The sequence below is a fragment of the Homo sapiens genome, chromosome 8, assembly GCF_000001405.40.
Source record: "Homo sapiens chromosome 8, GRCh38.p14 Primary Assembly".
Lineage (NCBI taxonomy): Eukaryota > Metazoa > Chordata > Mammalia > Primates > Hominidae > Homo > Homo sapiens.
The window spans coordinates 17,800,499-17,824,656 of record NC_000008.11 but is presented as its reverse complement, the minus strand read 5'-3'; the positions used below and the strand labels follow the sequence as shown (position 1 = coordinate 17,824,656).

At 40.0% G+C, this 24,158-nt stretch overlaps 1 protein-coding gene and 1 long non-coding RNA gene across 13 annotated transcripts in view, besides 3 other annotated features; one reads left to right on the top strand and one right to left on the bottom strand.

Annotated features, from left to right (window-relative positions):
- Nucleotides 1-2,460: 2,460 nt before the first annotated feature.
- On the bottom strand, nucleotides 2,461-23,315 carry MTUS1-DT (MTUS1 divergent transcript). 4 transcript variants are annotated; one of them, NR_186406.1, is made up of 4 exons: nucleotides 22,915-23,313; nucleotides 15,652-15,715; nucleotides 14,970-15,060; nucleotides 2,461-4,299 (listed from the first exon to the last, which is right to left on the bottom strand). It is a non-coding gene; the product is annotated as an MTUS1 divergent transcript (long non-coding RNA). The 4 variants fall into 4 exon arrangements; NR_186404.1 differs by lacking the exon at nucleotides 22,915-23,313 and adding an exon at nucleotides 20,791-22,177; NR_186403.1 differs by lacking the exon at nucleotides 15,652-15,715 and having other exon boundaries at nucleotides 22,915-23,315.
- Nucleotides 22,960-23,149: a silencer, noted in NCBI's record as "silent region_18965". NCBI's record gives its function as "represses an Ori minimal core promoter by ATAC-STARR-seq in GM12878 lymphoblastoid cells {active_cell/tissue: GM12878}" and the evidence as "EXISTENCE:reporter gene assay evidence [ECO:0000049][PMID:35858748]".
- Nucleotides 23,136-24,158, top strand: part of MTUS1 (microtubule associated scaffold protein 1) — a 157,720-nt gene continuing 156,697 nt past the window's right edge. For 6 of the 9 annotated variants that reach the window (NR_156437.2, NM_001363060.2, NM_001363062.2 and 3 more), the window contains exon 1: nucleotides 23,563-23,596. The gene's annotated coding sequence lies outside the window, so the exon portion shown is untranslated. Of the gene's footprint in view, nucleotides 23,197-23,562; nucleotides 23,597-23,739; nucleotides 24,060-24,158 lie in introns of those variants that run through there. The other 3 variants (NM_001001925.3, NM_001001924.3, NM_001363061.2) reach the window with 2 other exon arrangements.
- Nucleotides 23,190-23,249: a silencer, noted in NCBI's record as "silent region_18964". NCBI's record gives its function as "represses an Ori minimal core promoter by ATAC-STARR-seq in GM12878 lymphoblastoid cells {active_cell/tissue: GM12878}" and the evidence as "EXISTENCE:reporter gene assay evidence [ECO:0000049][PMID:35858748]".
- Nucleotides 23,330-23,449: a silencer, noted in NCBI's record as "silent region_18963". NCBI's record gives its function as "represses an Ori minimal core promoter by ATAC-STARR-seq in GM12878 lymphoblastoid cells {active_cell/tissue: GM12878}" and the evidence as "EXISTENCE:reporter gene assay evidence [ECO:0000049][PMID:35858748]".

The following is a 24,158-nucleotide window of genomic DNA, read 5'->3' as shown; positions in this document are numbered from 1 at the left end:
TGTCTCCTGGGTTCAACTGATTCTCCTGCCTCAGCCTCCTGAGTAGCTGGGATTACAGGTGTGTGCCACCATGCCTGGTTAATTTTTCTATTTTTAGTAGACATGGGGTTTCACCATCTTGGCCAGGCTGGTCTTGAACTCCTGACCTCAGGTGATCCACCCACCTCGGCCTCCCAAAGTGCTGGGATTACAGGCATGAGCCACCACACCTGGCTGATTTTTCAAATATTTTTCTGCCCCGTTTTCTACCTCCTCTCTTTCTGGGACTCTAAGTATATCTGTGTTCATATGTTTGTTGTTTCTTCATAGATCCTTTACTCACTTTTCTCAATTTCTTTTTCTTCTCTGTTTTTCAGATTAGATATTTCTGTTGATCTTTTTTTTTTAATTCACTAATCTTTTCTTTCACTGTTTCCAATCTGCTGTTAAGCCCATTTTAAAGACTTAGTTATTATATTTTTTTCATTCTAGAATTTACTTTGGTTCTTTCTATTTTTCCACTGATATTATCTTTTAAGATCTTAAATATATTTAAAACAGTTTTAAAAAGATCTTTTCTGTTAATTCCAACATCTGAGACATATTGGAATAGATTTCTATTGATTGAATTTTTCTTGACTCTGGGTCAAGAGATATGCTGTTTCTTTGCATGCATGTCTAGTAAGTTTTGATTGCGTCTGGTGCATTTGATGAGACATTTTACATACTCTTGATTTTCTTATTTTTTTGGCTGAGTGTTGAGTTTTGTTTTAGCAGGCAGTTACCTAGCTGGACTCAAACCCCAAATTTTTTCTCCCTTGTCAAGGCATTAGCTGAAATCTCTACTCAGTTTTTCAGCCTCCTGTTTGGGTTCCTTGGAGTCTCCTACACAATACACAGTTCAGAGATCTGCAGGAATGTGTGCAGAGAGTTTACACATGGATTTAGAGGCTCCCATATCTGTGGCTACCATCTTTCTGAAATTTCTCCCCTCATAATCCAGCCATATTGGCAGTCCCAAATTCTGTCCTTTAACCCTTCAAGCAATTAAAATTGTGGTTTTAGCTTCAGTTCTAGCTTCTTTCTACCACAAGGTCTGGGGAGTATCCTCAACTGAAAAACCATATTTAGTTCCCTTCTTTAAAGGATTCCCTTCTTATTTCTGCCTGCTTCTAGACACCCTCCAGTGCCTTCAGATAGACATTATTTACATTTTTTTCACAGTATATAATTTTGATCTGCAGGAGATCTAGTTTGATGCCAGCTACCCTACCATTACCAAAAGTGGAACTCCAGTTGACTACTTTTTTTTACTTAAAGATAATGTGATCTTTTTTTTTTTTTTTTTTTGAGACAGAGTCTCGCACTGTTGCTCAGACTGGAGTGCAATGGCGCAGTCTCAGCTCACTGCAAGTTCAAGTGATTCTCCTGCCTCAGCCTCCTGAGTAGCTGGGAGTACAGGTGCCTGCCACCATACTCAGCTAATTTTTTTTGTATTTTCAGTAGAGACTGGGGGGCGGGGGGGCGTTTCACTGTGTTGGCCAGGCTGGTCTCGAACTCCTGACCTCCTGATCCACCCACCTCGGCCTCCCAAAGTGCTGGGATTACAGGCATGAGCCACCGTGCCTGGCTGATAATCTGATCTTTTAATCATTGGCATGTGTGAAGCAGAGAATGAGAAGGAGGGCTTACCTAGAACCTCAGGTGATTACACTGAAATAATTTAGATAATTTAGTCACAATTCTTGAATGATTAGCTCATGGTACGTTAAGGACAATGTTTTTCAGTAAAATAACTTATTGTAGTTCTTAAGGGAAATGTAATAATAGGGAAAAATAAATGATATTTCAAGGTTAATTGCTATTTCATATCGCCATAGTAAGAAAATTGATATGTGGAGTCTAAATAATAAAATAACCAATTAGGCTGGGTGCAGTGGCTCACATCTGTAATCCCAACAGTTTGGGAGGCCAAGGCGGACAGATTACCTGAGGTCAGGAGTTCAAGACCAGCCTGGCCAACAGGGTGAAACTCCATTTCTACTAAGAATACAAAAATTAGCCAGGCATGGTGGTGCTGCCTGTAATCCCAGCTAATGGAGAAGCTGAGGCAGGAGAATCACTTGAACCTGGGAGGCAGAGGTTGCAGTGAGCCAAGACCACGCTATTGCACTCCAGTCTGGGCAAAAGAGCAAGACTCTATCTCAAAAACATAAAACAAAACAAAATAAAATAAACAATTAAAAATAAAAAATAAAAGGTTTTATATAAATTACAAATAATTAGGGCAGAGACTACATTGTATGCTTTGTTTTATACATCATATAATGGACTTTTTAGAGTATCTATACATGCTACATATAGGAAGAAATAGTTCTGAAAATTCTTCAGGTGACAAAGAAAATAATAACAGATGGTAACTTGGATCTACAAGAATGAATGAGGACCACCTGAAATAGAAAATATGTGGATAAATATAAATGACTTTTTTTCTTCTCTTTATTTAAAGGACATATGAAGGGTTAAAGTAAAAAGTAAAGTACATATGAAAAGAAATAGTTTCTTTTTAGTAAATACTTTTAGATTAGTTATAAAAACAGTAAATGACTATCATGTATTTCATTGTATTTTTTCATAACAATAATTGGCCTCTCTTATAAATTTACCACATCAAATGTATAACTGACATGTCTGATATATCAGATTGCACTCTTTCATTTGAATCTGCTTTATGGAAGAGAAGACATATATACTTGAACAAAGGGAATTCTCACTGGATAAATCTCAAATTGGATAAATCTGTGAAAACCATCCAATTAAAAGGGCACTGAGGCTGCTTGAACATATTCTATAAATTGCAAACTCAGGTTTAAAACAGCTTTAAGAAATTCTTGATAAATGGCCTTTTTATTAAATAAAATGATTTGGTTCTTTCTTCAAAGAAAGCAAAAATACACCTGAAACCTTTAGCTTCAGGCCACTCCAAAAGCTCCATTCCTCATTGGTTGCATAACTTCATTTTAAAGCAATTAAAATCGTGTCCGGTAAAAACATGCATAGTTGCCGTCTTTACTATTTTCATATTCTTCTGAATAGATCAGTTACAGCTCAGGACAAGTGTCATTTGAGAACTTGATTGACAATGACAGCACTGACTAGATTAAACAATAAAGATCTAAGTTCTAGTACTCTCTTATTGAAATAAAAAGAAGGAAGTATATTTGCCAGTCACAGGTCTAAATATCTTTCAAACCTATTAAACTTCCTGAAAGCGTTTCCGAAGGACAACTCAGGAATCAATATAAAGTAGCAGAGTGGCTGCTTTGTTTGCCTTCCAGAAAGCACTGTAGAAAATAAATATTTAATGGTAGACAAACCAATATGCTGAGTGTAAGACATAATAATGGCTTGAGACAGTAGACCGAAGTATTGTTACATTGAGAGATCAAGTGAATTACAATTATTCTAATGATAAAACCTTTTAAGTCTTTGCTTTATGGTTATTGTCCTTGAACCTCATCACATGCATGTAGATACTACAGACTCATAATTATCCACTCTGGATCCATGAGCCTAAGGTTGAATTTTACTTTCTTTTTCCTGGTTTATCGTTTTTACCTAGAGTACAACATAGAAGACACGTCAACAGTCTAATATGTTTTTTAAAGGTCATTCACCTTGGTTTCTGTACTAAAGATAAGGAATAGTCAGATCAGGCATCAGCTAAGAAATCTGGGAACAGTTGACCTAACGAAGGTTTGGAATCAATTTCACTGAGAAAATTTCCTCATTTAAAAGCAGTGAATTTGTTAGTTCACTTCCTGAGAAATGCAATGGATGCAAAGGAATTCTTTTATTCCCTCAGGGTTTTAACCTTTTTCTGTGCTTGATTTTCTAGAAACTTTAGGATTACTGGAGCCCAGTGGCTGTGTCTGTACAAATTATTGAGTAAGGGAATGAAGACGGACAGGACTCTGTGTGTGTGTAGAGGGGGAGGGAGGCGGCTATGAAAAGTCTCTCTTTTTAAATAACAGAACATGTTTACCACATCATTATTCCTTCTCAAAATATTTTTTAGAGCAGTTTTAGGATCACAGCAAGATTGAGAGGAAGATACAGAGATTTCCAATATATCCCTCCCCTCATATATACATAGCTCCCCCGTTATCAACATGCCTTCATTATTACATCTATCTCACTAAACAAAATTCTTTTTTCAGTATGCATCTATTTTCTCTTTCAAATTCTTGATTCAATAATTCATTGTTTTGATTTCCTGGAATCCTCTTGAGATTTTCAGTTTTTTCCTTTTTTTTCACACTAGAGAAATGAATGGAGATGTAGACATGAGATGTAAGGACCAGAATTTGGAGGTCAATTAAAGCAATTAGCAAATAGAAATCATCTAAGCTATTAAGACTGATGCTGTCATATATATATACACATATATATGTATATGTGTGTAGATCTATACATATACATATATGTATACATATAAACATATGTGTACATATACATATATGTATACATATAAACATATGTGTACATATACATATATGTATACATATAAACATATGTGTACATATATACATATATAACATACGTATATTATATATGTTATATAACACGTATATTATGTTATATAACATACGTATATTATATATGTTATATAACATACGTATATTATATATGTTATATAACATATGTATATTATATGTTATATAATATACATATATTATATATGTTATATAACATACGTATATTATATGTTATATAACATACGTATATTATATATGTTATATAACATACGTATATGTTATATAACATACGTATATTATATATGTTATATAACATACGTATATTATATATGTTATATAACATACGTATATTATATATGTTATATAACATACGTATATTATATATGTTATATAACATACGTATATAATAAACATGTATACATATGTATATACATATATAATATACATTATGTCTATATACATATACATATATAATATACATATATTAATATGTATATTAATATGTATATACATATTAATATACGTATATAACATATAATATACATTATGTACATTATATAACATATGTAATATACATTATGTACATTATATAACATATGTAATATACATTATGTACATTATATAACATATGTAATATACATTATGTACATTATATAACATATGTAATATACATTATGTACATTATATAACATATGTAATATACATTATGTACATTATGTAACATATGTAATATACATTATGTACATTATATAACATATGTAATATACATTATGTACATTATATAACATATGTAATATACATTATGTACATTATATAACATATGTAATATACATTATGTACATTATATAACATATGTAATATATATATGTGTATATAAAAAACATACCTGGAAAAAGCAATATAAATGTCTGGGTCTTACTCAGTAGCCCAGACTAGAGTGCAGTGGTGTGATCATGGCTCACTGCAGCCTCAACCTCAGTCGATCCTCCTGCCTCAGCCTCCCACGTAGCTGAGACTACAGGCTTGTGCCACCACACCTGGCTAATTTTGTTTGTATTTTTTGCAGAGACAGGGTTTCACCATGTTGCCCAGGCTGGTCTGGAACTACTGGACTCAAGCAATTCACCTGCCTTGGCCTCCCAAAGTGCTGGGATTACAGGTGTGAGCCACTGCACCTGGCCTACATTTATATATGTCTATATAATTGTATAAAGTTATCATGGGTTCAAGTTGTTTACTTCACCTTGTTTCACATAAACATATCTATGTATTACATCCTCCATTTACTTGTCATTTTAATTTGTATATGGTAATACACCATGGTTTACTTAAACATGTTAATACTATTGGGCATTTGAACTGAAGCTAATTTTCCCCATTATAGGTAAGGCTGCAATGAAAATTGCTTTATAAGTTAGTTTTCCTTTCTCAGGGGAAGGAACGGGTAATAGGTCAAAGAGCATGTTATAGATTACCCCCCAGAAATATGTAACCATTTTACATTTCTACCATTAACATACAAAATGTACGTCTGCCTTCCTCCCAAAGACTTGTCCAGGTTCAGTTTTACAAGCTAAAAAATGTCTTCCAGGCTGGGCGCAGTGACTCAAGCCTGTAATCCTAGCACTTTCAGAGGCTGAGGCGGGTGGATCACCTGAGGTCAGGAGTTTGAGACCAGCCTGGACAACATGGTGAAACCCCATCTCTACTAAAAATACAAAAACAGGCCGGGTGTGGTGGCACGTGCCTGTAAACCCAGCTACTTGGGAGGCTGAGGCAAGAAAATCGCTTGAACCCGGGAGGTAGAGGTTGCAGTGAGCCAAGATCGCATCATAGCACTCCAGCATGGGTGACAGAGTGAGGCTCCGTCTCAAAAAAAAAATAAATAAAATAAAAAATAAAAAATGTCTTCCAGTTTAATGCATCTGTAAGAGAGTCTTCATGTGAGTTTAATTAACCTTTATTTTCATTTTTTAATAAAACTGATTTTTAAAAACACAATGATGTAGTCTAAATGTTCCTAACTGCAAACTGTCCATTCATCAAGTGGAAAGTGGTTATTGACTTACATAATCATTTATTTTTTCATATATTTTGGGAGAAAGCTATTATCACGTTATATTTGTAATATATCTATTCTATACTGGAAAGTTTTCTTTATAGCATTTTTATTTTACATTTTGTTGCATGAAAGTTAAAAAATTTAAATCTGCTCAATTAATCACCCCTGCTTCCGGTAACAACCTTTGTTTTCTGCAGTGATTAGAAATGCATGTTCTCCAGGTTGGGCAACATAGTGAGACTGTGTCTCCACAAACAATTAAAAAATTAGCAAGGCATGGTGACGCATGCCTGTAGTCACAGCTACTTGGGAGGATGAGATGGGAGGATTGCTTGACCCCGGGAGACTGAGGTTGCAGTGAGCCATGATCACACCACTGCAATCCAACGTGGGCAACAGAGTGAGACACTGTCTCAAAAAAGAAAATAAAAATGCATGTTCTTTTTCTCATAGGAAATAGATAAACCACTCTTCCATTTTTTAAAAAGGGCTTTTACTTTTTGATACAGCTGGAATTTATTATACTGTTTGTTTCCGTGTATTTACGTATCTAACATGATGTTTTTTCCAGCCTGTTAGCCAACTATTTGGAAGACAACTTATTATGTGGTTTTCCCTTGCCCTATAGGTTGGATTCTTTTTTCCGACTGTAATAACCCAAGGCCATAAGATTTTGATCATTGTTGCAGTGTGTTCAGTTTTCCAAGTTTGCTGAGTTCATCCTTATTCCCAATGAAAATGTTTTGATAATGTCATCCATTTATTTTTCACTATTGGTTCTCACAGGAATTTATAACTGCAATAAATTTATATATTAAACATTTTTAATTGATGTCTTATTTAATCTCTCTAAAAAAGAATGTAGCATAGTTATTTAGGTATGTTTACCTTTTTTTATTAGAATTTAATCAACTTATTTTTCTTCAACTTTTAAGTTCTGAATACCTTTGCAGGATGTGCACGTTTGTTATATAAGTAAATGTGTGCCGTGGTAGTTTGCTACACAGACCTGCACAGATCAACCCATCCCTTAGGTATTAAGCCCAGCATCCATTAGCTATTCTTCCTGATGTTCTCCCTCCCACCATCCCACCTTCTTGGAGAGGCCCGTGTGTGTTGTTACCGTCTATGTGTCTATGTGTTCTCGTGGTTCAGCTCCCCCTTATAAGTGAGAACATGCGGTGACTGGCTTTCTGTTCCTGTGTTAGTTTGCTGAGGATAATTGCTTCCACCTCCATTCATGTCCCTGCAAAGGACATGTTCTCATTCCTTTTTATGGTTGCATAGCACTCCATGGTGTATATATACCACATTCCCTTTATCCAGTCTGTTGTTGATGGGCGTCCAGGTTGATTCTATGTCTTTGCTATCGTGAATAGTGCCACAATGAACATACGTGTACACGTATCTTTTTATTTTTACACGTGCACGTATCTTTGTAAAAGAATAATTTCTATTCCTCTGGGTATATACCCAATAATAGGATTGCTGAATCAAATGGTATTTCTGCCTTTAAGTCTTTGAGGAATCACCACACTGTCTTCCACAGTGGTTGAACTAATTTACACTCCAACTAACAGTGTAAAAGCCTTCCTATTTCTCCATATCCTCTCCAGCATCTGTTGTTTTTTGACTTTTTAATAATAGCCATTCTGACTGGTGTGAGATGGTGTCTCATTGTGGTTTTAATTTGCATTTCTCTAATAATCAGTTCTTTCTTATGTTTGTTGGCCACATGTATGTCTTCTGAGAAGTGTCTGTTCATGTCCTTTGCACACTTTTTAATGTGATTGTTCATTTTTTTCTTGTAAATTGTTTAAAATCCTTGTAGACTCTGGATATTAGACCTTGTCAGATGAATAGATTGCAAAATTTTTCTCCCATTCCGTAGGTTGTCTGTTCACTCTGATGATAGTTTCTTTTTCTGTGTAGAAGTGCTTTAGTTTAATTAGATACCGTTTGTCAATTTTTGCTTTTGTTGCAATTGCTTTTGGCATCTTTGTCAGGAAATCTTTCTGTCCCTTCAATCAATTTTTTTAAGAAACACATCTGTTTCAAGTTAATTTTATTGCTGGGTTATTTAATGTATTATTGATACGGTAAATTCTGTCTTCTAGTTGTGTATAACTATTTTTTGTTTGATTCTGCTGACATTTTAAGTATGCAACCATGTAACATGTAAAACACACTTAAATCTTTCTACATTCTCTGTTTAGTGATAGTGGTCGTAGGGGTACCCTCTGTATGTTTCTGTTTTTTAAGTAAATTGGCTCAAGTGTTTCTGACTTGTATTTCTTCATTAAGAGTTTTTTTTTCTTTTTTTTTTTTTTTTTTGACGGAGTCTTGCTCTGTCACCAGGCTGGAGTGCAGTGGTGCCATCTTGGCTTACTGCAACCTCTGCCTCCCGGGTTTAAGTGATTCCCCTGTCTCAGCCTCCTGAGTAGCTGGGACTACAGGTGTGCACCACCATGCCCGGCTAATTTTTTGTATTTTAGTAGAGATGGGGTTTCACCATGTTGGCCAGGATGGTCTCAATTTCCTGACCTCGTGATCTGCCCGCCTTGGCCTCCCAAAGTGTTGGGATTACCGCTGTGAGCCATCGCACCTGGCCAAAAGATTTTTCTAACAACAGATTATACAATTAATTCTGGTTCTTTTCATTAAAAATTATCTTTATTTTTAAAGTTATGTATTATTTTTGAACTATACATCTGGGGTTGAAACACAAAAGTAAATCAAATGTAGAACTCCAAAGAGCTGAGTTATAAGAAGGCAGTGTATTTGGTGGTTCAAGGTCAGACTGACCTGGATTTCAATCCTAATCCTGTTATTTATTAGCTTCGTGACACTGGGCATATTTATAACTAGACTGGGTTTCAACTTCATCACTTATAAAATGAATATAATAGTATCTACTTGCTGGGCACCATGGCACATGACTGTAGTCCCAGCTACTCAGAAGGCCAAGGTGGGAGGATCACATGAGTCCAGGGCTTTGAGGCCAGCAGCAGCCTGGGCAACATAGCAATACCTGTCTCTTAAAAAAGAAAAAGAAGAAGAATGCAATAATAATATCTACCTAATAGAATTGTTATGAATATTTAAACAATTAATACATGTAAAGTGTAAAATGACTAAAATCGTGCATGGTACATAATCAAGGTTTGGTATTATTTTTATAATCATCATAATTAATCTTAATATCTCGTAATTTTAATCAAGAAATCTTTGAATCCATGATGAATATTGATGTGGTTAGGCTTTTGTGTCCCCACCTAAATCTCATCTTGAATTGTCATCCCCAGGTGTTAAGGGAAGAACCTGGTGGGAGGTGATCGGCTCATGGAGGTGGTTTCCTCCAAGCTGTTCTCATGAGAGTGAGTGAGCTCTCATGAGATATGATGGCATTTCCCCTGGTTGCACTTACTTCTCTCTTGCCTGCCGCCATGTAAGACATGCCTGCTTCCCCTTCCACAGTGATTGTAAGTTTCCTGAGGCCTCAGCAGCCATGCAGAACTGTGAGTCAATTAAACCTCTTTCCTTTATAAATTACCTAGTCTCAGGTAGTATCTTTACAGTAGTTTTGACAAACACTAAAGGACTTCACAAGGTTCATTAGTGCTGACTCAGGTGCCTCTACTCTGTCGCACTTTAACTGATTCCTATTCCATCAGGGAGATTAAGTTTCTCACAATTCCATGTTGAATGAGCATAGGACTTAGGAAGACCTGAAGATTCTACTTCAGAAGATGGGGGTGATTATTAGATTAAATCAAATCAAATAATATATGTGGAAGCTACTAGCAAAATATCTGGCACATAGATCTCAGATAAAAGCTGGTTGCCTTCTGCTCTTTTTTCCTCTCTATGGCACCCTCTGAGCATTCACAGGGACTTCTGCCAACCTGTTTGAGCATTTCATGCTTGGTGCTGTCAAGGAGTACTCACCATATATAGCTGGTGGCTACCAAGATCTATCTGATGGTGTTTGGACTCAAAACACACCCCCAAAATAAAGGCCTCCAAAATAGTCTTACAAGTAAAACTTTTTTTTCTAATTTTCTCATGTCTTCTTGTCTAAGACTAAGACTGGTCTAAGACTAAGGTCCCTTTCTGCTTCAAGGCTTGCCATAGAAACTAGAATCCCTCTTCCCCAAGGCGGGTCATACAAATGAGAACCTCTTTGCCCCAAAGCCAGCCATAAAAAACCTAAAAATATTACTCTAATTTTTCCTGCACCTTTCTGTGTAAAACCTGGTCATAAAAAAATTATCTGAGCTACCTTATTTAATTATAGGCCATACGATCCCCATTCTAGAAAGGGTCCTGCCCTACATGCAAAAGAAAAACATACATACTCAGAGAGACACATGGGCTGATACGGGCTGGCTGTGTCCTCACCCACATCTCACCTTGAATTGTAACAATCCCCACGTGTCAAGAGTGGGGCCAGGTTGATATAATTGAATCATGGGGGCAGTTTCCCCATACTGTTTTTGCAGTAGTGAATAAAACTTGGTTTTATAAATGGGAGTTCCCCTGCACAACCTCTCTTGCCTGCTGCCATGTAAGACATGCCTTTGCTTCTCTTTTGCCTTCTGCCATGATTGTGAGGCCTCCCCAGCCATGTGAAACTGTGAGTCCATTAAACCTCTTTCCTTACAAATTTCTCAGTCTCGGGTATGTTTTTATTAGCAGCATGAGAACAGACTAATACACAGGTCTTACTATCTAAGCTTACCGTTTAACCCAGGCCTTCCTGGGTTTCCCTACTTTGTCTATTAACATTAGATGGTACCCTTTTTGTCCAGTTACATTTCTACATGGTTGTCCATACTTTATTGAACCTAAACATAAAAATAATTTCCAGGCTGGGTTCGAGGACTCATGCCTATAATCCCAGCACTTCAGGAGGCTGAGGTGGGGGAATCCTTTGAGCCCAGGAACTCAAGACCAGCCTGGGCAACATAGCTAGACCCTGTCTCTACTAAAAATAAAATAATTAGTAGGTTGTTCATTCCTGTGGTCCCAGCTACTTGGGAGGCTGAGGTGGGAAAACCCCTTGAGTCCAGGAGGTCGAGGCTGCAGTGAGTTGTGATTGCACCACTGCACTCCAGCCTGGGTGACAGAAAGACCCTGTCTCAAACAAAAACAAACAAAAAAAGATAATTTTCTCTATATCTTTGGGTCTTTATTCTAAAGGCTCTCATGTACACGTTAATAAAATTTATATACATTTACTCCAATTAATCTGACTTTTATGAGTTGATTTTTAAGCAAATCTTCAGAGGACAAAGGGGATATTTTCCTTGTACCCTTACAATGGTCACCTGTATCCGGGGGTCATCATTTTTTAACCTTAAAATTCTGCCACAAATATAGACAAAGGACAAAAGATAAAATAAAAAACCCGTGGACAACATCTATAACAAAATTAGGTGATGAAGTGTCTCCACGAACCCTAGAACATAAGGAATTGAGGAAAGCCATAGACAGATACAAGGGCTAGGTGGTATCAGCAACTGTATAATAGAAAGTGGAGGGAATTCATGAGACTCTGATAAATCTGATAATCTCAAAATAGCAAGCAGGCAATTGCTGGAAAGCTTGGAGGTTCCACTTGGGAACAGCAGCTGAAACTGGAAAAAGTTTTGCACACTCCAAAGTCAGGGGAATGCAAAGTGTCTGACGGGCACAATGAATGTTCCAAACTAACCACCCAAATTTCCACTCCTGGACAAGCACTGCACAGAGAAGAAACTTCTTGGAAAAGAATGCTCATTGTACGGAACTGGGACGATAGAGATCAAGGAAAGACGGGGTCCAGATGAAAGCAAGGAAAGAAAACAGAGTCTGACCATCTCAGAAAATAAGCCGCGATTGCCGGGCGTGGTGGCTCACGCCTGTAATCCCAGCACTTTGGGAGGCTGAGGCGGGCGGATCACAAGGTCAGGAGATCGAGACCATCCTGGCTAACACAGGTGAAACCCCGTTTCCACTAAAAATACAAAAAATTAGCCGGGCGTGGTAGTGGGCGCAAAAAATTAGCCGGGCGTGGTGGTGGGCACCTGTAGTCCCAGCTACTCAGGAGGCTGAGGCAGAATGGCGTGAACCTGGGAGGCAGAGCTTGCAGTGAGCCGAGATCACGCCACTGCATTCCAGCCTGGGCGACAGAGCGAGATCTGTCAAACAAAAAAAAAAAAAAAAAAAAAGTAAGCCCCGATAGTTTTAACCACCACACAAATACAACAAAAAAAGAGAGCGATCAGGTTGTGAAATTGGAAATGCTTTCCCAAATCCTACCTCCTCCTGAAAGTTTAAGAAAATTATTTCATATTTTTTTAAATGAGCAAAAAAATACCAAGATTAAATCTCATACAAAATTACTGTCAGGAAAAAAAGAGAAGAAACTGAAAAACATCCCTACAGACAATGCCAAAGATGCTAAAAAGACATACCTACAGAGCAGATGCAAACCATGACTTATTATTTCAATGTGTGCTAGAAGACATTAAAGAAATCATCCAAGATATGGAAAAAACAAGAAAAATGAGAATTGGGAAATATCAGAAATGAGGTGATAGATATACTTAGGAAAAAGATGTAGAAACAATAGTCAAAAACAGAGACTAGGCCAAGGAAAAAGACGTAGAAACAATAGTCAAAAACAGACACTAGGCCAAGGAAAAAGACGTAGAAACACTAGTCAAAAACAGAGACTAGGCTGGGTGCAGTGGCTCATGCCTGTAACCCCAGCACTTTGAGAGGCTGAGGCGGGAGGATCCTTTGAACCCAGTAGTTCAAGAACCCAATAGTTCAAGACCAGCCTAAGCAACAAGTGAGACCCCATCTCTTAAAAAAAAAAAAAAAAAAAACTAAACTGAAAGTAATGGAAGAATAAATAAACACAGAGAATACCTTAAGAAGAGAAGATGAAAGAGAAAAAATTTTTTTTAATTGAAGGAAAGTAATAAAAAGGGCTTGAGAGAAAGAAACAAACTTAGAGACAGGCAAAAAAGATATACAAAAATATGTTTAACAAGAGTTTCTCAAGAAGAAAAACCAAAGCAAGGCACAGAAGGACTACCAAAAAACTATAATGAAGAACATTTTCTTCAAATTAACAATATATGTATTTGAAGCTACGTAGTGAAAGGTTATACTACATACCTGGAAAAACTGACCCAGGACTAGTAACACCATAACTTATTATAATGAAATTAGTAGCTAAAAAAATATATTTTTCAAGACAGTGTCTCTCTCTGACCCCCAGCCTGAAGTGCAGTGGTGTGATCACAGCTCACTGTAGCCTTGACCTCCTGAGCTCAAGTGATCATCCCACCAAAATTACACATTTTAAAGGGGAAAAAATTATTTTGGGCTTCTAGGCAAAAAAAATCCACTTATAAAGGAAAAAAAAATCAGATTTGCCATCAAATTTTTTTTAACAGCAATGATTTAGGTAGAAGAAAAATGGAGTAACATATTTAAGATATTCAATGAAAGAAAATGTGAGTCAGTAGCTTTCCAAGATAAAGGCAGCATACGAAATGTAATCACTGTGCAAAAATTCAGGGAATATTGTTTCCATGAGCACTTCCTGAGGCATCTACTTGACAAAAACTTTCATAAGACAACCATATGTGGTGTATATCACATTTATTGACCTGTATGTGTTAAACCATCCCTGCGTTCCTGGTATGAAACCAACTTGATCATGGTGTATTATCTTTTTGATATGCTATTGTATTTGGTTAGCTAGTATTTTGTTGAGAATCCTTTTGTTGAGGATTTTTGCATCTATCTTCATCAGGGATATTGGTCTGTAGTCTTCTTTTTTTGTTATGTCCTTTCCTGGGTTTGGTATTAGGGTAATACTGGTTTTATTCTATCTTTTGGAATAGTTTCAATAGCATTGGTACCAGTTCTTCTTTGAATGTCTGATAGAATTCAGCTGTGAATCCATCTGGTCCTCGATTATTTTTTCTTGGCAATTTTTCTTATTACTGTTTCAGCCTCACTACTTGTTATTGTTCTGCTCAGTTTCTGATTTATTTTTATTTCTGGTTTAATATAGGAGGGTTGTATATTTCCAGGAATTTATCCATCTCCTCTAGGTTTTCTAGTTTGTCCACATAAAGGTGTTCATAGCAACCTTGAATAATCTTTTGTCTTGGAAGACAAAATGGGGTGCAGGAGGGATGGTTTTGGCCTAAACTGTTTCAGCTCAGATCATCAGGCATTAGTTAGATTTTCATAAGGAGCATGTTACCTAGATCCCTTGTATGTGCAGTTCACAATAGGGTTCACACTCCTATGAGAATGTAATGCCACCATTGATCTGACTAGAGTTGGAGCTCAGGTGGTAATGCTTGCTTGATGCCACTCACCTCCAGCTGTGTGGCCGGGTGCCTGACAGGCCAAAGACCAGTGGCAGTCCGCAGTCCTGGGGTTGGGGACCTCTGATCTAAAGAACTAACTCTATAAAAGAGAAACTGAGATCAAGTTAGGTCAAATCAATGAAAACATATCTAGGTGTCAAAGCTAAGTCTTCTAAATCCAATTTGCGTCCTCAGTTCTGGAGGGATAATGATATTTTTGTGTTTTATTCCCTATTTAAGATTTGCAGATAATCAGTTTGCAAATTAGTGAAGAGTCACCATAATTTTGTAGGTACTTGATATGGTTTGGCTCTGTGTCCCCACACAATTCCATCTTGAATTGTCATCCCCACGTGTTGAGCGGGGGATGGTGGGAGGTGATTGGGTCATGGGGGCAGTTTCCCTCATGCTCTTCTCGTGATAGTGACGGAGTTCTGACAAGATCTGATAGCTTAAAAATGGCAGTTTCCCCTGCCCTCTCTGTCTCTTCTGCCGCCTTGTAAAGAAGGTACCTGCTTCTCCCTTGCCTTCTGCCATAACTGTTAAGTTTCCTGAGGCCTCCCCAGCCATGCAGAACTCTGAGTCAATGAAACCTCTTTCCTTTATAATTTACCCAGCCTCAGGCAGTTCTTTATAGCAGTGTGAAAATGGACTAATACAGTCCTCAAAAAGAGATCAGAAGTATACTTACCCAAAATAGATCAATCTTTGGTAGTGTTAAGTGTCCATCCTGGATTTCTCAGTGTTCTAGATGCCTAAAAGTAAGATTGTCTTACTTCTAGGTAACCAATCAGGCATTAATTTACAATGTTGGCATACTGCAATGTGGTTTAGGAATAGTCTGTGCTCACTCTACAGAGAAAAGAACGAGGCTAATATTTTCAGTGGCCCTTTCCTGAATTGCCAGCCCATGTTTAGAAGCATGATTATATTTTGAGGAATGCTTATGTGACAGCATGAGGGCTAATGCCTGTTGTTCATTTAGTTTATGGTTCTCTTCCTACATTATTATGATTTGCAAACATTTGTTAGCTAACATGGAGCGCTTTGGCCTGCTTGACTGCATCCCTTTTGAAAATGGGGAGGATTTCAGAGCCAATCAAGAATCAGGAACTATGAATCAAGGCCAAAAATTGCAAAAGGAATGAACTGGAGATCAGTTAGTACATCAGGCCTGGATGTGGCCTGGTGTTAGCACAGAAAGACTGAACCCACAAGCCTTCCTGACTCTTTGCACTCTTTTTAGGTGATCACTGGGCCCAATCAACAGGGCCCAAGGGGGAACAGAGCAAATTGGAAGGCTGCTGGCAGTGGAAGCTCTCTTAGGGCTTTTATTTGGTCAAGAGAACAAGGCCAGGGGTATAAATTAAAAGCAAATTCAAAAGGTCTAAGTAAAAAAAAAAAAAAATGCTAAGTAGACTGTGGTAGTCTCAAAGGTATGAGGCCTCGAAGCCACAGACTTGTTATTAATATTTGTCATGAAGCAGTAAATACTCTGAAATTGAAAATATATCCCCTTTTTAAGGAAAGACTCAATCTGACTGGAGTAAAGCCTGACCAAGCCCAAATGTCACACAGTTATGAATCACTGTCAAGAGTGGATTATGCAGACGAGTAGTTTCTTTAGCCATGACATTTTAAGCAAAGTAAACATTTTCGAAGTGGTTGCATAACAAACTGGTGGTACTATATTTTTCTTAATTTCTTCCTAATATGAGGAGGCCCACAGCAGAATTACAGGACAACTTGTTTGTGTGTGAACTAGAATAATTTTGGCATCATGTTATAAGAACTGTTCCTTCTACAGAGTCTATAAATGGAACAGGACTGTTGAAGATGCCTTCCATGGGATGGGGAGATGGAAGAGTTTTTCAAACTTCTGCAGGTCATTTTGATAAGAGGAAGCTATATTTCTTCATTTTTTCTACTGCTTTGAACTTGCAACAAAAAACTCCTTTCTTGAGATACTTAAAAATCTTCAGACTTTGCCATAAGGACCTTTTTTTTTTTTTTTTTTTTGAGATGGAGTCTCGCTCTGTCGCCCAGGCTGGAGTGCAGTGGCACGATCTCAGCTCACTGCAAGCTCCGCCTCCCAGGTTCACGCCATTCTCCTCCCTCAGCCTCCCTAGTAGCTGGGACTACAGGTGCCCTCCACCATGCCCAGCTAATTTTTTGGATTTTTAGTAGAAATGGGGTTTCACCATGTTAGCCAGGATGGTCTTGATCTCCTGACTTCATGATCCGCCTGCCTCAGCCTCCCAAAGTGCTGGGATGACAAGGTGTGAGCCACTGTGCCCAGCCGGCATAAGAACATTTCTATTCTGCTAGTCACCTTCTGGGGCATTAAGAAGACAGTCCAGGGCCAGGTGCAGTGGCTCATGCCTGTAATCCCAGCACTTTGGAAGGCCGAGGTGGGCAGATAACTTGAGCTAAGAAGTTGGCCACCAGCCTGAGCAACATGGTGAAATCCCATCTCTATAAAAAAAATACAAAAAGTAGCTGGGCATGGTGGCACATGACTCCATTCCCTGCTACTTGGGAAGATCAACTGAGCCCAGGAGGTCGAGGCTGCGGTTGAGCCATCATGGCACCTCTGCACTCCAGCTTGGTTGACAGAGTGAGATCCTTTCTCAAAAATAAGAAAATAAAAAAGAAGGCCAGGCGTGGTGGCTCACACTTGGAATCTCAGCACTTTAGGAGGCTGAGGCAGGTGCATCATGAGGTCAGGAGTTCGAGACCAGCCTGGCCAACACAGTGAAACCCTGTCTCTACTAAAAATACAAAAATTAGCTGGGTGTGGTGGCAGGCGCCTGTAATCCCAGCTACTTGGGAGGCTGAGGTAGAAGAATCGCTTGAACCTGGATGGGAGAGGTTGCAGTGAGCCGAGATCGTGCCACTGCACTCTGGCCTGGGTGACAGAGCTAGACACCATCTCAAAAAAAAAAAAAAAAAAAAAGAAAGAAAAGAAAAGAAAAGAAAAAAGAGGAGAGTCCAGTTGGGTCTTCAAGTCCACTGAGAAAAAAAATAGATAATCAAGAACCTGGGAGTTATTGGTAAATAAATCAGGGCCATTTACTGCTCTCACGTTCTCTCTTTCTTGTTATGCAGCCATTGCTACAGCTGGTCAGTTTGGGTATCTTACCACACATGTCTCACCATCTTTGGACACAAGAATTAAAAGTCATAGGCCGGGCACGGCGGCTCACGCCTGTAATCCCAGCACTTTGGGAGGCCAAGGCGGGTAGATTACCTGAGGGTGGGAGTTTGAGACCAGCCTGACCAACATGGAGAAACTCTATCTCTACTAAAAATACAAAATAGCTGGGCATGGTGGTGCATGCCTGTAGTCCCAGTTATTTGGGAGGCTGAGGCAGGAGAATTGCTTGAACCTAGGAGGTAGAGGTTGTGGTGAGCCGAGATCACGCCATTGCCCTCCAGTCTGGGCAACAAGAGCGAAACTCTGTCTCAAAAAAAAAAAAAAATCATATGACTATGTGTAATATACACATTCTCTTCACAAAAACAAAGAAAAGGTCATCGACAGTATCACAAAATTCCAGCATTCTGGGACTTTGCCAGAGATTACCGCAACTTCTGACAATGCTTCAGCACCTGTCTAATGAGTGCTCACTAGAAAATTTCTGGAATGTTGTATAAAGCAACTGTGTTTACCTCTGTGGTAAGGGATTTGTGGAGATGTTCACGTTTTACCATGAGCATATTTGACTTTCAGAAGTATATCTGAAGAAGCTGCCGTCTTTCCACACTTCTATTTACAGCCAATCCTTGATCTCATTATGCTGTTATAAGACCGGTCCCTGTCTGGGTGAGTAACTTCCTCAAGTTGAGTTTTATTACAATACTTTTGTTTTTTTGGCCAGGCACAGTGGCTCACGCCTGTAATCCCAGCACTTTGGGAGGCCAAGTCTGGAGAATTGCTTGAGCCCAGGATGGGCAACATAGCGAGACCCCGTCTCTATTAAAAAAAAAGAAGAAAAAAACTTCTAGTTTTATTCACAGTCACTATGAAAAATAGCCACATGAAGTTCCTTATGGTATTTTAATAGTATATTGTCATTTTCCATTTTGTAGTCTTGAATTGAAAATGAGTGACAAAAATTTTTCTTAAAATTCAGTGCTAGGAAAAGTTTTTCTTCCTTTGAGAAACTTTCAGCCTCTTTTGAAAATGACAATTATGTAAGCGGTTGGCGTACCTGGGTCTCAGGAAGCTCAGTGTTTTAATTCGTTGCTCAATAGTATGTTTACTATTACCTGTATGCTTTTCCGGGAATACCATTTTATACTAAAAATACTTACACTTTGAAATATTTATTTTTAAAATGTACTGTTTCTGTCTTTTAAAGATGTTCAACTCCCTTCTCAGTGAGATGGTGCCATAAGGAAACATAAATAAAAAAAAAGGGACCCGGATTGGGAACAAAGGCAATGACTCCATGGAGTTCCCCTTGAGAATTAAGGCCTGGAATACTTTTTTCATTTCTGATTGAATGCAACTTTGGTAAAGTTATCTGGAAGCCCTACCCAAGGGAGATGTCACTGCTAATCAAATTGCAAGGAATTTACAATTTGCTAATTCATCGTTTTCACCACACTTGTGTTAGAGTTTTATGTACCAAAGTTGTCTTTTTTAGATAAACTAGAGAAGAAATAGGGTCAGAAGCATCTATTGAACATTTTTTTTTTTTTTTGAGATGGAGTTTCGCTCTTGTTGCCCAGGCTGGAGTGCAATGGCGAGGTCTCTGCTTACCGCAACCTCCGCCTCCCAGGTTCAAGCGATTCTCCCGCCTCAGCCTCCCTAGTAGCTGGGATTACAGGCATGCACCACCATGCCCCCGCTAATTTTTGTATTTTTAGCAGAGACGGGGTTTCTCCAAGTTGGTCAAGCTGCTGTCGAACTCCGAACCTCAGGTGATACACCTACCACGGCACCATGCCTGACCAATCATTTATTTTATCTATAAGTGAAATTCGTTCACAGAGAAACTTTGGTCATTCCTGATGGCAAAACTTCATGCGGTAAAACATTTTAAAATATTAGAATGGGTTCTGTTATTTATATGGCTCAAAATCCAAAAAAAGTACAAAATTGTATTTAGTAACAAATTTCTCTTCTAATGCTGCCATTTAACTATCCAACTCCCATCTCAAGACACAACCAATGTTATCTGCTTCTGGTATATCTCTCCAGATATTTTATGGGTTTTTGTTTTGTTTTCTTTTGACACAGGGTCTTGCTCTGTCACCAGCTTGCAATGCAGTGGCACAATCATGGCTCACGATGGCCTCAACCTCTTGGACTCAAGCCATCCTCCCACCTCAGCCTCCAGAGTAGCTGGGACTATAAGCGCATGCCACCATGCGCAGCTAATTTTTGTATTTTTTATAGAGACAGGGTCTAAGTTGCCCTGGCAGGTCTCAAACTCTTGGGTTCAAATTATCCTCCCCCTTAGACTTCCCAAATAGCTGGGATTAAAGGTGCAAGCCACCATGCCTGGTGGCTTATGCTTAGTTTATGCTTATACAAACATATCTATATATGTATCTATACAAGTTTGTATCATTTCCTCCCTTTTAGTAGAAATTGTAGCATACTATTAGGTAATTGTTTTGTGTTAAAAAATGCACATGACATAGATTGAAGATCATCTCATAAAAGTACAAAGAGCTTTCTCAGTCTTTTTAAAAGCTTTCATAAGATTTCATTTTATGCCTATATCATGATTTATCAGTCCTTTACTAAAGAATATTTGTATTTGAAATATATCTTATTATAAACAATGCTGAAATAAACAAGGTTGTAGATACATACCATTTCTCCTGTGTGTTGTAAGATAAACTCTTTTTTTTTTTTTGAGACAGAGTCGCGGTGCGTTGCCCAGGCTGGAGTGCAGTGTCACAATCTCGGCTCACTGCAAACTTCGCTTTCCAGGTTCAAGGGATTCTCCTGCCTCAGCCTCCCAAGTAGCTGGGATTACAGGCGCCTGCTATCATGTCTGGCTAATTTTTGTATTTTTAGTTGAGACAGGGTTTCACCATGTTGGCCAGGCTGGTCTCCAACTCCTGACCTCAGGTGATCTGCCCGCCTCGGCCTCCCCAAGTGCTGGGATTGCAGGCATGAGTCACCGTGCCACCACGCAGGGCCAAGATAAACTCTTATACGTATAGTTGCAATATTGTTAGGTATCCTGACCTTCCCCCTAGGGAGGTCATTATAATTTACATTTACATTTTCATTGTGACTGCTAGTCTACACTTTTACCAACACTGTGATTATCAAACTTTCTAATCTTTGACAATCTGATAAGTGAAAAAATGGTTTCTCAATACAGTTGCAATTTGCATTTTCTTATGGAGGAAAAAAAATTGAGCCAACTTTTTTTTTTTTTTTTAGAATAAAGAGCCACAAAGTTATGTGAGTTATTATTTTATCCTTAATATTGCTCCTGGAGTCTGTAGCAGGTCAGCATCAGAGTTCAGAGATCAGGAACATGGCAACATGCCCAGAACCAAGATGAAAAGAAAAGCCAATAGGCCCCATTTCATGAATATTTGCCTTGAGGAGTCCCTGAAGATGTCCCTAGAAGTTAACTTCTGTTTTTATGTGGAGACAATTAGAAGCTAAGTTTCAGATTCCCCAATGCCTGCGTAAGTAGCTCTAATTACTTAGCAGAGCATTGTATGTTTCCCCCCTTCAAACCACCTGACACAAAAATGAAGTAAAACAGGTTCTATATTTATAGATATAACTAAGCCACACAATAGGATTGTGGGGTTTAGACCAAATCATCTAGGTCACATCAGGGTTATAAAGATTAAATGATATGTTTCACACAAGAACTATTCTGCTTAGGGATGGAGGCTTGTTGCTAATTAGCATAATTGCCTCGTGACTTGCGGAAACTATGTCAGCGTTTTGTTTTGTTTTTGTGTGCTTTTTCAGAGGGAGACTCATCTGGTGGTGTTAAATACTATATCTATTTAAAATTAATCACATGCCTTTCCTAACAACACGGATCATGCTAGTTGCATCTATCTTTACAACAGGGATTTCTGAAGCAAATGAGAGGTGTCATTATGTAATGGAATTAAAAGAGAAGATTAGGAGTTAGGCTGGCTGGGTTTGCACTTGCCCTCACTGGCTGTGTGACCTTGCGCTAGTCACTTGACCTTTCTGAGCTTCAATTCCTCATTTGAATAATGGAGATAATCTGACCTATATACCCCTGGGTTTTGTAGTCAGGAAATAATGGATCATTGTACATATGAAAAGTCTTTACAACTATCAATGGCAAGACATCTGTCAGTTATTCTAATATTCATGGTATAGAAAACTGTGAAATACAGAGTCCTTACGTCTATTCTCCAAAAAAGTTCACTTCTCTTTAAAAGCTTTTAGCAAACCACAATCCAGGTAATTAAAAAGGAAATATTAAAATTTTGTTCTCAGGTTGTCTGACATTTCACGGTTCAGCAATGTGACATCTCTCACAGGCAGAATAGCATCTTCGGACAAGTTTTCTATTAAAAATATGCTTTATAGAAGAAAATATTTTACGGACCTAGAAGACAGCTGTCGATGAAATTTGCTCAGTTTAGCAAACAGCAAGGACTGTGTTTGTGTTTAGAGAAAAGTAGGTCGAGCCTAGTTTATCTCCCTGGGGTTCTAGACTCCTTTCCACGTTGTATCTCAAGCTCTAATAGCTGGAAAGCTACTTTCTTTAACCTTTAATACACACTTGCTAGTAAACTTGCTAGAAGCATGAAGATAATACAGACTGCGAATCAGCCCTTCTAAGAGACAATCACGACTCCTTCCTTGCAAGCTTCCGCCCTGATAATTCTGCAACCTTCCCACCTTCTATACGCCCCGCGGTGCGAGGCCCCTCGGCCTGCAGGTGGCCAGAGGCAAGCAGGAGTCAGATCCCCCACCTACCGCGGCCCGGCCTGGGCCCTAGCGCTGGGTGCGGCGGAGCCCCGGGCTCCTGCGGGGACGAGCGTGGTCCCGGGACGCGCGGTGCAGCCAGGTGCGCCGGCGGCAGTGGCAGCCGCTGAGCGCCGCGTCGCACGTGGCAACAGGTGCAGCGCTGTCCCGGGCTGGCGCCGGGGGGCGTGGGGCGCGTCCGCACTTAGTCCGGGAGCGCGCGGAGCGTCGGGATTGGGACCCGAGAGCGGGAGCGGAGAGCGGGAGCGCCCGAGCGGAGTCCAGCGCCCCGAGGTACGGCCTCGCACGTCATTCAGGTTCCCCGAGGGCCGTCCCCTGGGACGGCGGCTGGCCTTGGTCTCCCGCAGCGAGCCGCTGGAGTGGAGCCTTCGGAAGGAGCCGCCCCGGGTTGGGGCGGGAGGCCCGAGTTCGGCTATTTACAAGTTTCCCGAACTCCCCGCCCTGCTCCACCCCCTGGCGGCCCCGGAGGCGGGGAGGCGGGGAGGCCGGGGCTCCGGGTCCCGCCTGGTAGCCGCCGCAGGCGTGGGGTGGTGCCGCGCCGCGCGCCCCCAGGTGCAGACGCCGCCCCCGAGACCTCCGGGGCGGGTTCTCGGCGACCCCGCCAGTGGTGCAAAGGGCGCCAGCCCTCCCCGCCTCTGCGTCTTTGCTCCCGGAGCGCTTGAAGGAGCTGCGGGTAAGTGCGCGCTGGAATCTGTTCCCGCTGCCCGGCGGCCGGGGTGGGGAGGGGACAGGCGAGCGCGCCGCCCAGGGTGACGGGACCGGTCCTCGGGGAGGGGAGGGGGCGTTCCAGGGGCCTGGGGGCCGAAGCTGAGGGCTAAAGGGGGCGGCAGCGCCGGCGGAGCGGAGGCGGGTCTCACGTGGGCCAGCGCAGAGCCTGCGGAAGGGACGGATGCGGATCTCGTCGCTGTCACCTTGAAAGTGACCGAGGGGCTTGACTGTGGACTCCTTACGCCGCCCACCCGGGCCCGGCGGTCCCAGCCTTCTCGCAGGGCCCCTTCTCAGCAGAAGCAAGCGGGGCCGAGAAAGCGGGTGGAATAGGGTTGCTGCAGGTCCCAAAGACCCCTCGTGGCGCCTCGCTACTTTCTGCAGCTTGTTTGCACTTTTTCACGCTCTAGAAAAATCTCATCTTAATTAAGGTGACCTTATTGACTACTCTATAGTGCTTAGTGGACTTAGGTGTTCACTGAGGAACGTTTTTGTTCTTTTTTGAAGACGTACTCCTTTCTACCAAGTTG